A 14,344-nucleotide genomic window follows, 5' to 3' on the forward strand; every position below is an offset into this window, starting at 1 on the left:
AGGTTAAGAGGCAAGATGATTGGCAGCAGAATTCTTCAGGATTTTGTTTGCTGTGGTATGGATTATATTGGAGCACCTTAATCTGAAGGATGAAACTGTGACTTGATTTATCTAATTAGCTTTTAATTACCTATAGCTATTTTATTTTATTCTCTCCTATAGTTTTGGGGACCACTGTAAACGTCTCTCAGATGACTTGTATTTTTGTAGTGCTATGAAATTTATTTACACACTTAAAAACTGTATATTCACTTGAACTCTAACAATGTACATGTATATGTATATATTTGCTCCACATTATGTTTTTTACTTTATATAAACGTATTTTTATTGTGATAACCCAAGTGTGCCATGGGGGCATGTGTACTCTTAATGGTTGGAGAGCTGGTGTGGAAAACTGGTGTGGAAACCCGCATTTTTCATTAGGGTGGTTGGCTTCAAGATATCTGCTGCTAGAAACTGGGGTGCGTGACTCAGTGTGAGAGGAATATCTGGGTGGAAGAGTGAATTCCTGTGCTCTGAAATGCCACTTGGGAACTCTGGAGAATGAAGGACAATTGACTTCAAGGTGTCTGGCTTCTGCCACTGCTGGAAAAAAATTCAGTTTATAGCATTTCTGCATTTCCCAAAGTAGATAACCTGGAGGTTATTCAATAAATAACTGTCCCCGAGGACTCAATTTTGGGGGAGGGATTATCTAGGAGAAGCTTTACCCTGCTCTGAGCCATCAGCAGAATTTGGTGAATTGGAGCACAGGAGAATCCTACAAATGGAGTATGTCTCAGGGCATACATCAGCTATACAAGAGAGCTGGGACTTGCCTCTAGCTTCTGCAGGCACTTACCTGATGGGCCCTGGGGGGGGGGAGGGGTGGCCTGGAGGAGCCAGAACAACTCTTGGCCTCACCTCTCTGCTTCCAGAAAGAGTATTCAGGACTTGAGGGAAGCATCAGATTAAATACCAGTGAACAGTTCGAGGTCAACTTCGAGGTCAGCTTCCTGAAGTGTCAATCCTTTTCCCAATTGTTTCAATAACTCTTATTCCTTGCACTTTGGCAGATGTCCTGCCCTCCTCTTTCATTCCAGTATGTTAACCTCATCAAGGCAGCAAAGTGGAAGAGAAAGCAAGTCTGCCCTTTGCCATACTGAACAGCTATGGACCCTGAGGGGTAGTACACATGCCTGTAAGAATGAGATACAAGTGTGTGCTTTCCAGCTTTGCTAACAGTGGGAGTTCAAAGGCGCAGAGAGGGAGGAAGGTCCATGACACTCAGCCACATAGTGTAGGGAGGCAATTTAATATTAAGTGATGCACCATCCTCCCTCCCTAGGTGCCTTCTCCCAATCAAACTTTTTCCTTTTTTCAAGATGACTAATTATCCCTCAAGAACAATTAATTATCCCTTAATTGCCTTAGGTGGAGAACTTAACTCCTAGAAGCCACATCAACCAACCTCAACTCTGGTTTGTCCATATCTACTGTGTGAGCTACTTAACTGACTCCTCCTCTCTCCAACTGAAGGATCACCCAGTGTTTTTTGGATTATAGAATTATTATTTCCTGCTTTGTTACTCTGGGAATTTTTTATTTCTTTTGTTTGTTTTTATTTGTATGTGTTTTTTTTTCATTTTTTCTTTTTGGAGACAGGGTCTCCCTCTGCACCCAGGCTGGAGTGCAGTGGTGCAATCATGGCTCACTACAGCCTCAACCTCCCAGGCTCAAACAATCTACTCACCTCAGCCATCCCAATAGCTGGAGTCTTGCTATGTTAGCCAGGCTGGTCTTGAACTCCCAAACTCAAGCAATCCTTCTGCCTCAGCCTCCCAAAGTGCTGGGATTATGGGTGTGAGCTGCCGCACCTGGCCACGTTTTAAGAAGTAACCTGGGCTCAGTGCAGTGGCTTGCGCCTGTAGACGCAGCACTTTGGGAGGCCTAGGTGGGTGGATCTCTTGAGCCCAGGAGTTTGAGACCAGCTTGGGCAACATGGCAAAACCCTGTCTCTACAAAAAGTAAAAAATTAGCCAGGCATGGTAGTGCATGCCTGTTGTCCCAACTACTCAGGAGGCTGAGGCAGGAGGATCACTTGAGCCAAGGAAGTTAAGGCTGCAGTGGGCCATGATCACACCACTATACTCCACTCCCATCCAGGTTGGGTGACAGAGTGAGAGAAAAAGGAAAGGAAAAAGGAAAAAGGGGGAAAAAAAAAGGAAAGGAAAAAGGGGAAAGAACCTACAACCTCACAGGTTTTTCTTTTTGTTATTGTTGTTTTTGAGGCAGAGTCTCACTCTATCGCTCAGACGAGAGTGCAGTGGTACGATCTCGGCTCACTGGTACCTCTGCCACCGAGTTCAAGGGATCCTCCTGCCTCAGCCTCCCAAGTAGCTGGGATTACAGGCATGCACCACCACACCTGGCAAATTGTCATAATTTTTTGTGAAGATGGGGTTTCACCATGTTGGCCAGGCTGCCTAGGTTTTGTTTTTAAGAAGTAACCTGAAATTTCCTACAACACTGAATAAAGTGGTACTACTTCCCCCCACCACCCCTCCCCCAAAAAACAAACAAACAACAACAAAAAAAGCCATGAATTTTCTATGGGAATGAATATACCTTAATAAAGAAAATCAAGCAATACAATGGGCTACAATGACTGACTAAGAAAAACACATGATTATCTTAATGGATACAGAAAAAGTATTTAACAAAATTGAAATATCAACTCATGATCTTAAAACAATTCTGAACAATCTAGTAATCGTAGGAAATTTTCTTAAACTGATAAAGAATATCTACAAAAAACCTATAGCTAACATCATACTTAATGAAATACTAAATGCTTCCCCCCAGCCACACTAAGATCAGAGACTTGGCAAATACGTGTGCTCCAAACATTCCCTTTTAACTTCTTACTGCAAGTCTTAGCCAACGCAGTATTTCAAGAAGACATAAAAGGCAAGCAAATTGGAAAGGAAGAAATTAAACTATCCATATTCACATGTAAATAGTAAACTATACAGACACCACTGTATGTAGAAAATGCCAAGAAATATACATAAAAGTTCATATAATAAATGAGTTTAGCAAAGTTGCAGGATACAAGGTCAACATACCAAAAGTGACTTTCAGATGCATATACCCCTATTTGGTGTTCAATCACATCAGTGTGTTCTCTCTATAAAAGATGATGCTATTAATATTCCCACTCTGCCCTTCCTACACACTTCCTCTTCTGTCCCCATATACTGTCTACTACATTTTTACCTTTATATTATCAAGGTAAAAATTGTTACCTTTACCTTTACATTTACATCGTCCCAATTGTCAACATTTTTAATCATTGTGTTGTCTAAATGTGGTTTATTAAATTGAAAAACAATAAACGCCATTACATTTTTAAAAAGTGATTTTATTTCTATATACTAGTAATGAATGTTTGAAAATTTAAAAACCACTACCATTGACAACAGTAGAAAATATATAAAATATTTGGTATAAATATAAAATATGTCCAGGATCTGTATGCTGAAAGTGGAAAAAAAAGCAAGACCAAAATAAATATACAGCTATATCATGTTTGTGGCCTAAAGACAAAATATTGTGAGGATGTAAATTTTCTTCAAATTCATCTATAGTTCTAACTCAACAGATATACTAGCAGAATTTTTTATAGAAAGCAACAATTCTAAAATTTCTGGAAAAGCAAAGTAGTAATCAACACGATTTTTGAGACGGACGAAGTTGTACACACTATCTAATTTTAAGACTTCCTATGATTAGGAAAGTGTGGTATTTGTGAATGGATAACAATGGAACAGAATAGGCAGCCCAGAATTAGACCCAAACAAATATAATCAATTGATTTTTTGACAGAAGTGCAAAAGCAATGCAATAAAAAAGAAACAATCTTTTCAACAAATGGTACTAGAACAATTAGATAGCCATATTTTAAAAACTGAACCTTGACCCATAGCTAAACTTTATACAAACCTTTATTCAAAAAGTATCATAGATATAAATGTAAAACTTAAAACTATAAAATTCCTGGATGAAAATAATATATAATCTTCATGACATTGGGTTAGACAAGTGTTCTTACATTGCACATCAAAAGTAAAAAAATTGATAAAGTGAATTGTATCAAAATTAAAATTTTTGCTCTAAAAAAGTCAGTGTTCAAAGAATGAAAAGACAAGTCACAGACTAGGAAAATCTATTTCCAAATAATGTATCTGACAAAGGATTTGTATCAATATATTAAAAAACATATAAAAACAGTAAGAAAAGGAATAATCCAATAAAAAGGGGAGCAAAAGATCTGAACAGACACTTTGCAAGAATATATCATCTTTAACTGTAAGATCATCATAAGGTTTGAGGTGATATCCTGATTTGATCATTATACAATGTACACATGTACTGAAACATCACAATGTATCCCATAAATAATTATGTGTCAATTATAAACAAATAAAAGATAATACCATATATCATTGGGGAATTACAAATTCTAACAATGATTAAAATTTAAATGAATATATATATATATTTACATACATATATATGTATAATACAAAATTACTAAATACTGGTAAAGATACAAAGCTACTGGAACTCTCACATATTTGTAATTGGAATGCAAAATGCTAGGGAAACTTTAGAAAACAGTCTGGCACTCATTCCCACTCCAAAGCATTTACCCTATAAAAATGAGCATTTATCACACAAAACTTATACCTGAAAGTTTATAGCAAATTTGTTCATATTCACCAAAACTAGAAACATCTTACAAGTTCATCAGTTAGTGAATGGATAATAAAACTGTGGTACATCCACACAATGAAGTACTACTCAGTGATAAAAAGGAATGAAATAATTATCCACAAAACATGGGAGAATCTTGACTGCGTTTTACTAAGTGAAAGAAGCCAGACCAAAAGGGCTACATATTGCTTGATTCCACTTATATGACCTTCTGGAAAAGGCAAAACCATAGGGATGAAGAATAAATTGATGGTTTCCAGAGATTGAGTATGGGGTAAGGGGTTGAATACAAAAAGAGCCACCAAGAGAAATTATTAAAGTGACAGAACTTCTCTGTATGGTACTAGTGTAGAAGATACATGACTGTGCATTTGTCAAAACCCATAGAACCATATACTAAAAAGAGTGAATTTTACTGTGTGTAAATTAGAAATAAAAATTTTAAAGCAACAAAGGTATATTTTTACCTATTAAATTAGCAGAGATTTACAAAATTAGAAAGGCCATGTTTTGATGAATATATGGAGGGATATTCACATTTATACACTACTGGTGGGAATGCAATTTGCACAACTGTATTGAGGAAAATTCAGCATCACCTGTCAGATGCTCTAATAAATGCTCTCATCATCCAAACTAAATAATTTTAATTCTGGAACCTTATTCTAAAGAAATAATTCCAGATGTGCATAAAGGTTAATGTACAATGATGTTCATTACATTTAAATTTTATACGCAAACTTGGTAATAATCAAAATGTCCAATAACATGACATCATCTAAATAAACTTTGTTAAATCCATAAGATATTATGGAGCACTTAATATTGTATTTTTCAAAGAACAATAACATGGAAATATGCTTGTGAATTTTCAAATGAAAAAATTAGATAATAAAATGATATATACAATATGATGTCAATTTTGTTATAAAACTGTGTTATATACATAATTTTTAAAAAGAATGAAAGGACATACACCTGAATATTACAAATTAGTTTTCTGGCTTATAAAATTATACATATTATTTACTTTTTAATTCATACTTTATTTTTTAACAATGATCACCTGTTACTTTTATCATGAAGGAAAACTTTTTTTTTATTTTTAAAAAACAAGCCCAGCCCAATCTAGCCAAGCCGATGACCTTTTCAGTTGCTATCTTCACTCAAAATGCCACACTGTTGTCCACTGGGTGCTTATTGTCCTTTTGCTCCTTTAGGGACCGCACTCACTGGTGATAAACACCCGCCAAAGTGAGAGTGCAGGTGGCAGCATCCTTCCAAGCTCATTAAATCTTTCAGTTAAACTGGCCTAGTAAGCCATAGGCTGATACTGGGATCAATCTTCATGACCCATATAGGGAACCAATGTTTTGAGAAGCTATAATGCCCACCTTATGTAATTGGGAGTTTCCCCTCTTCTAAATCTCTTCTATGAAATAATATTTTGCAATCCTTCTCCAAAGCAACTCTTTTTATTTTAGATATTCCATCATGCCATGGGGAATGACAAATAGTAGGTCCAAGGATAGACTTTCCATTGTACTATTTCCTTATCCCAGATGTGGTGTTTGGGGATGCCTAGAGCCATTCTGTCCACTGTTCCTGTCTCATCTCACCTATCCAATTTTTTAAGCTGGCTATTTAGTACTACTTGTACTATCTCCTGTGTACTTGATCCCTTTAAGAGGGTCACAGACCCCTTGTCACAGAATCAAAGAATTCCTCTAAGTTACAAACCTTGTTTTGGGTTGTTTCTAAATTGGGTCAAGAGAAACCTCCTCAAGGGCAGCTTGACATGAGAATAGTGGCTGGCAATGACTCTCACAGTAGCAACAGAGGTATTACAGCGCAACAACTTCTCTCCAATCCACATTAAAAAGGTATGGATTTATGAAGTAAGTCTCACTGCCTGCTTCAAAGGATTACTTCAAATCCATTGAAGTAATAGATTTTATGGCATCTCTCATTTTCTCCCTTCCTTCCCTCCCTCCACTCCTAAGGGCAGTAAGTTCACTCCTATCTTCATTTACAAATATCACAGATCTCAGGTTTGCCTCATTCATGTAAGCTTCTAAATCCAATATCCACTAAATTATGTCAAGCATCTGTAACTCCATTATGGAATTTCATAGCCTCCTCTTTCCTCTCTATTTTTTAAAATCTTTAAAAATACTTATTTCAGTAACTTTTGGGGTAAAAGTGGTTTTTGGTTACATGGATGAATTGTATAGTGGTGAAGTCTGAGATTTTAGTGTACCCGTGGTACTGGTATAAAAGTAGACACATAGACCAATGGAACAGAATAGAGAACCCAGAAATACAGCCAACTATTTACAACCAACTGATCGTTAACTAAGCACACAAAAATATAAACTGGGGAAACAACATCCTACTTAATAAATGGTGCTGGGAAAAGTAGATAGCCCACATGTAGAAGAATGAAACTGAATCCATCTCTCTTACCTTATACAAAAATCAACTCAAAATAGAACAATGACTTAAATCTAAGACCCGAAACCATGACATTTCTACAGTATAACCAGGAAAAACTTTTCTGGACATTGGCCTAGGCAAAGGATTCACGACTAAGACCCCAAAAGCAAATGCATCTGCCTCTCTTTTTATATCCAAGGGCAACATGAATGTAACTCGCAACACTCTCTAAGGTTTCATTCACTCATTCACAATAAAACTTTCAGATGGGGACTTGTTAGAGACAAATGGCTTAGGACGAGAGAAAGCAAAAAAGACCTACTGAAACTCATCAAGGTGGGGAAAGAAATGGAGGAAGGTCAGTGAGGGCAAGAAATTCCCTAGGATGACTCTAGAAAAGAAAAATGAGGCAAGAGCCAGGATAAGGTGACAGAAGATGTGAGCAAAGGTCTCCTGGGGATTCATTAGGAATGTATTTGACTCAGGCACAGTGGCTAACGCCTGTAATCCCAGCACTTTGGGAGGCCGAAGGCAGGCAGATCACTTGAGGTCAGGAGTTCAAGACCAGCCTGGCCAACATGGTGAAACCCCATCTCTACTAAAAATACAAAAATTAGCTGGGTGTGGTGCCATGTGCTTATAGTCCCAGCTACTTGAGAGACTGAGGCAGTAGAATTGCTTGAACTCAGGAGGCAGAGGTTGCAGTGAGCCAAGATGACAAGATGGCGCCACTACACTCCAGCTTGGGCGACAGAGCAAGACTCCATCTCCCCGCCACAAAGAAGGAATGTATTTGAAACACACAAGAATTTCCACTTCCCTTATAACCTATCCTGCCCATCCTCGAGAGACAAAAACTAACCAGGACTCCTGATATTGTTTCTGTTCATATCTGTATGTCCTAAAACAAGGACATATCTGATGACCAAATCAGAAGGGGGACCTGGGATGGGGAAAGCCCTCCTACCAGTATTTCATGATCAGTTGAGACATCAGGCATAAATCCTGGGGCTGGAGTTCGCAGAGTTGCTGGCCTTGACTACATCTCCAATGGCTGATATGAGATCAGGTAAGGCGTGGGCATCAGAGTAATCAATTTGAGTATTTTTCAACTCCAGCCATAACTATGACAAATTCAACCTCAACCTTAGCATTCATGCCTCTCTGGGTCTTAAGTGATGGGACGAAAGTGCAAATGAAAGAAGAGGGTGGCTCCCAAAGGCATATACGTGGGAAAGAAAAGTGCCAGTGGAAGGAGAAAGTTATGGCTTTTGTTTGATCTCATCAGTGATATGTCTTACTTATAAGGCTTAAGGAAAAAGTAAACAAATATGAGCACAAGGATTGGGTTTACTTTCAAATCAGCTGACTACTCTCCTTCTATGAAGCTGGGTCATTTATTGCTGAAATCCAAACCCATCTCTGGTGGCCTATATTCCAGCAGTGGGGATCCACAACATTATTGAAGGCCAAACAGAGCAAGTACTCTACCATGTTTTAAGAATTTTTTTTCCCGTAAACATGGGGAGCTGTATGGGAAGTAACTATTCATATACACATATCGGTGAGTACAGTAACTTCTGAAATGCGACAAGAGAAAAGAGAAATCTAAGCATGCATTTGAAAATAGCAACCTGTGATCTGGAGAGGATCTTAATAGTGATCCATTTGTTGAATGATGCTTTGTGAAGCTGAGATGAAGAGAGGTTGTAGTCATCCCCCGCTACTTCTTTCCTTTTCTTCTCCCTCACATTAAGTCTTCTACCAGCTCCTCCTGAGGAATAAATACAAAGCAGCCCCTACAAGAGGGGATGGGTTGTCTGAGGGCCTGATCACTTTAACACAGTAGTTCTTAAACTTCTTTTGGAATATTGAGTCATTTGGAGAATATAAAAGACATGGATCCTCTCCCCAGTAAAATGTACTCAAAAGAAAAATGTCTGCATGCCATGTCAGAGGTTTTATAGACTCTCTTCTCCTAAGCTTTACCTTCCTTGTCCTTAAGGCCATCTCTGTGCCTCAATTGCCAGCCCTCTTCCCTAACAGCACAGGGAAATTCTACAATATGGACCACTAAACTGGATGTATTCTGACCCTAGAGTGGCTTTTACAAAGTAGTTGTTACTCACCTATTGATGTGAGCTTTCTTTTGTCTACCCTTTATCCTAAAAAGCTGAATTAATAGGATTGTGTCTTGCTCCGGTTAATCAACATGTGTGTACTATGACTGGTTTTTTGTTTTTGTTGTTGTTTTTTAAGAGCAGCACTAGCTCACTCTTCAACTCAGAGGCTCAGAAGCCAAAGTACATTATGGAACATGGCCAACAAATGCTTGTAACATGTAACTAACTTAGGTCAAGATCAAGGAAAAATTTAGATCCTAAATAAATCTTTTTATGCCACTTCAAGCTGACCAGCCTGCAGCTCTTTGAAAGAGTTAGGAGACGGCCACAGGATTCCAGCAGTGCTAAAGGCCAACAGCTCCCCTAGCTGTTCTCACCAGGAATTCTTGCGCATTCTCCCACTCCTGAAGTGTGACAGACCCAAAAGAGGGAACAGATGGCATATAGCAAGGTGTCAGGCATAGAGCAAATACTCAATAAAAGAAGGAATCACCTGGATCCCCCCACTCTTCTAAGGCTCATCTACTATCCCACTACAGCCTTTCTTCTCTAGTATTTGCAGTTAACATGTGCCAACCTCCAAGTCATTCCTCACAGTCACTGAAGCCTTTTGTACCTGGCCCAGTGTTCATTCTAAGCCTAGCTTCTACTATAATCCTGGGTTACTATAATAGTCATGTAAATGATCATCTGACATCCTAGCTTCACAGGTATCTTAACCACTCCAGTTTTGAAATCTAACACTCCAAAGTCTACTCTGATTACAGGTCCTATCACTCCAGTTTTCCAATTACTCAGCACTCACCTTGTTCACATTAAAGCCTCTTTTTGGCCCAGACTGAGGCCACTCCTGACCTTACTTCCTTCCATGTCCAGGTTGGATTTTTTTTTTTAAATGAAGTCTCACTCTGTTACCCAGGCTGGAGTACAGTGGGTGGGATCTCGGCTCACTGCAACCTCCGCCTCCTGGGTTCAAGTGATTCTCCTGCCTCAGCCTCCTGAGTAGCTGGGATTACAGGCATGTGCCACCACACCTGGCTAATTTTTGCATTTTTAGTAGAGACAGGGTTTCACCATGTTGGTCAGGCTGGTCTCGAACTCCTGACCTCAGGTGACCTGCCCACCTTGGCCTTCCAAAGTGCTGTGATTACAGGTGTGGGCCACCGCGCCCGGCCTTAGTTTGGATTCTTAAATCCATTTCTGTGTAACTCGTCTCTTGCTAGCTGTCCACCCCTCAATCAATCAAGGCAACCAAATACTGCTAGTGACAATGCCCCAAAACCACTTCATATTTTCCTGAGCTTCTAACCCAGTTTCAAACTCATTTCTTACTTTGATATACCATAAGCTCTCCTGTTAATGGTCTCACTCCAGCGTTTTGGCCTGAATATTCCTTAGGGACTCTGGTTCATATTTAGCCCTCTAGTATTTCTGTTCCAGCAGCTTTTGTCTTCATATTCCTGTTCCTGGTCAGCTTCCTCCCCATCATCCACCTCTACAATTACAAATCTTCACCACCCTTGCCAAGTCCTCTTCCTTACTCCTATCCCTATCTCTGTGCTCCAGCAAAGAGGTAGTTCCACTTACCTAAGGCTAACCCTCCACCTGCATGTGTTCTAGAGCCATAAATTTCACCCTTCCAGCTTCACCTGCATCATCTTTCAAGATCATCTTCCATCTATTATCATCTCTCTCTTTCTCACATCTACAATGACTCCCTTCTCAATTCCTTCTGCCCCATGGTCTGCAAACACACTCAATTTTTTTCTCATGTTAAATGATTCACTGTAAGGCGCTGGATAAGTGGTTTTAACTTGTATTCTGGTTGTCACATCTACAATCAGAAAAGCTTCTCACAAAATAATGATTAAGTACAATAAATAAGATAAAGAAAATATGAACCTGGTGAGAGGTGAACAGGACGGTGGAGGATTACCTGTCAGTGCAGGTAAGGGGATAGCTGGAGTAAAGTTGAAAGGGGAAAACTTTAAATATCAGCCACAGGAGCAAACCTCAGACTGTGAGGATGAGGTTTCTGTTCAGACAATGAGCACTCTGGTCCAACCCAGGGAGCAATTAGCAGCAATTACAGTAGCAGCAACAGCCATGCAACATCAGCAAGTAGCTAAGACCAAAATGCAGGCATAGAAATGAAGTATTTCATAGAAAACAGAGTAGCAAATATGACATATGAGGCACTTGTGCTGCTACTCCCCCTTCTCCGACCCTCAGCAGACATCACTAAATAGTTATAAATGTCTTTCACACTGAGATAAGACCTGGTTTCAGAATCTTGTTATAAAACATAATCAGGGCAGGCATTATCAATCAATTGGAGATGGTACTTGAGATGAAGTGTATTTGCTATCATTGCACTACACAGAAAAGTCCTCAACAAAAGAATTAGAAGACAGGAATAAGCTTCAGGAGTAAGCATTCTGAAGAGAGCTTGGACGTTGTTGGCAACTGGCGGGGACAAGCTGAGCCCATGGAGATCACAGAGCAGGCGCCCAATTAATGTCTGTTGATGATTCATTTTTTCATTCAACAAACATTTAATGAGGCCTACAATGTGCACCGGATTAGGCACTGTGAATACAAAGATGAGTAAGGCACTGTCCTTGCCCTTAAGGAATTTAAAGTCTGGTAGACGAGAGCCATAGACACGGACAATGATAATACAACCTGCTAAGTGCTAGGACACTTAGCAGGTTGTATTATATCCATCCGAGTAGGATTTCTTCAGAGGAGCACCACTCCAGGTTGCTGCTGGATCCATGAAGTCCTCCCAGGCACCAGGGTCTGCTGTTGTTTTTGTCACGTGCTGGGTGTCCCAAGATCTAACAATAATAGCTGTAATTAATGTATAGAGTGCCTATGACAAACACTTTACAAATATCTTCATGGAAACTCTGAAAATTAATAGTTATATTAGAGGAAGAAACTGAAGTTCAACAAGTTTAAGTCACACAGCCAGCAAGCAGTTGAATTAGGTTTCAAATCCAGTTTTGACAAAGTCTAATGCATTTTTCTGTTTTCAGGATAACCTTTATGCAGGTGTAATACAACAACTTTTCAACAGCTTTCTATTTGGAACTAAAAGCAAAGGCAATAGATTAGTCACTAGATCATGGAGTGATTAATTTGGTTTCCCACTCTACCTGGCAGAGAAATAAAAGGTGAAATGACCTCACACTTACATACCATTGAAAACCTTCAAGTCAGTTACTGTTTTTCTTTCTCAACCCTAACATCGTCACTGATCATTCAAAATATAAGTACCTCTAGTCAAATCTCTTCTTTTAATACTTGTCATAGTCAACACCATTATCAGCAACAACAGTTGACACAGCATTTAGCTGTATATTCCAGGCCTGTTCTAAGCAATTTACATAATTAGTCCCTTTAAGTACTTTTTACCCCCATCATTGAAAATAAATATTATTCCTATTTTACATAAGAGAAAACAGAGTCCTGGGGAAGTGAAGAATCATGCTCAAGACCACATTGCTAAGTGTGAGAGCAGATTTGAGCCCAGGCTACCTGGTCCCAAGACCCAAACTCTCACTTTACATAGCTCTGCTGCACTGCTCAGGGCCTCCTTTCCCAACTCTTGATGGCAAGTTACACAAGGCCCCCTGAAAAACCCAGTCCTACTTACATAAAATCTCATCACTAACCATTCTGGTCATAGAAAGCCATTCTCTAAATCCCAAATATCAATACTCAGAGCCTTAATTGGAAAATTTCCCGAAGAACATTGAGTTTAGAATATACCTTTGCAAAAAGAGAAAATAAACACTCGATATGTTTAGGTTTTTAATTATTGAATTTTTTTTTTACTTGCAGATATAGTCATAAACGTTTTAAGATCCATAAGCAAACTAAAGCAATTATGCCAATAATGACTAAGGCCACTGCTTCCTCAATTGAGTCTTTGATATAAAAGCCTTCACTTTTGGTTAATTACAAAAAAAAAAAAAAAAAAAAAAAAAAAAACCGTGGGAGATATGTGACAGTGAGAGTAGGCCTGCTACTGATGAGAAGGACCAGCAACTTAGCAACACCATAAAATGTCTGCTGCAATTCAGGTGTCTAGGTGTCTCCCTGAGAATCAACATTTCATATACAGCTGTTCCCAGAAAACAATCTTGCACAATCTGTACAGTCAAGTTATGATCTAAAAGGAGTTAATTGCAACATTCATCCAAAGAATATGACAGTATTTTTCATCAAGGTCTTTTTCTATAAGTTTTTCTATAACTTTTCCTATAAGTTCTATTATGTCTATACAGTCATGTGCTGCCTAACAATGTTTAGGACAATGATGAACCTCATATATGACAGTTGTCCCACAGTTGTCCCACCACAAAATCATATCATATTTTTACTGTAGCTTTTCTATGTTTATATATGTTTAGGTACACAAATACTTACCATTCTGTTATAATTGCCTACAGTATTCAGTACAGTCATATGCTGTACAGGTTTGTAGCCTAGGTGTGTAATAGGCTATACCATTTAGAGAGGTTTGTGTTAATATACTCTATGAAGTTCACATGACAAAATCGCCTAACAATACACTTCTCAGAACATATCCCCATTGCTAAGCAATGCATGACTAAATTTTTATAACTTCCTAAGAGGTTATCCCCTCTTCGCCACTCCCACTCCTTTCAGCCCTACATCATTTCTCATCTTAGCCACCACAGTATCCTTCTAACTCATCTCCCTGTCCAGATTTGAAAACATTCCTGAACACACCCCACACTACTGCCAGTGATCATCTAAAAGCATCCCTTTCTGAAAACACTTATAATGAAATCCAAATCCCATGGCATACCATATAAAGTTCTATTCCTGGCCTACATTTCCAACCTAATTTAGAGAACTATTTGTAGTTCCCCAAACTCATCATACTACTTCCAATGTCCATGCTTTTGCTTGGAAAGCCTTTCCCTGTTTTTCACCTAGTCAAAAGGTGACTTTACTTCTTTAAAGACTCAACTCATATACCAGGTACT

The 14,344-nt window shown here is 38.8% G+C and overlaps 1 long non-coding RNA gene and 3 other non-coding genes across 4 annotated transcripts in view; 1 reads left to right on the forward strand and 3 right to left on the reverse strand.

The window, feature by feature from the left end:
• The window catches only part of FTX (FTX transcript, XIST regulator), a 265,439-nt gene that overhangs the window by 178,430 nt on the left and 72,665 nt on the right, over positions 1-14,344 (reverse strand). The gene's annotated exons all lie outside the window — the stretch shown is intronic.
• Positions 11,812-11,896, reverse strand: MIR421 (microRNA 421). The gene has a single exon (NR_030398.1). It is a non-coding gene; the product is annotated as a microRNA 421 (primary transcript).
• On the reverse strand, positions 11,982-12,053 carry MIR374B (microRNA 374b). The gene has a single exon (NR_030620.1). It is a non-coding gene; the product is annotated as a microRNA 374b (primary transcript).
• On the forward strand, positions 11,984-12,053 carry MIR374C (microRNA 374c). Its single transcript, NR_037511.1, has one exon. It is a non-coding gene; the product is annotated as a microRNA 374c (primary transcript).

Source organism: Homo sapiens, chromosome X, assembly GCF_000001405.40.
Source record: "Homo sapiens chromosome X, GRCh38.p14 Primary Assembly".
Lineage (NCBI taxonomy): Eukaryota > Metazoa > Chordata > Mammalia > Primates > Hominidae > Homo > Homo sapiens.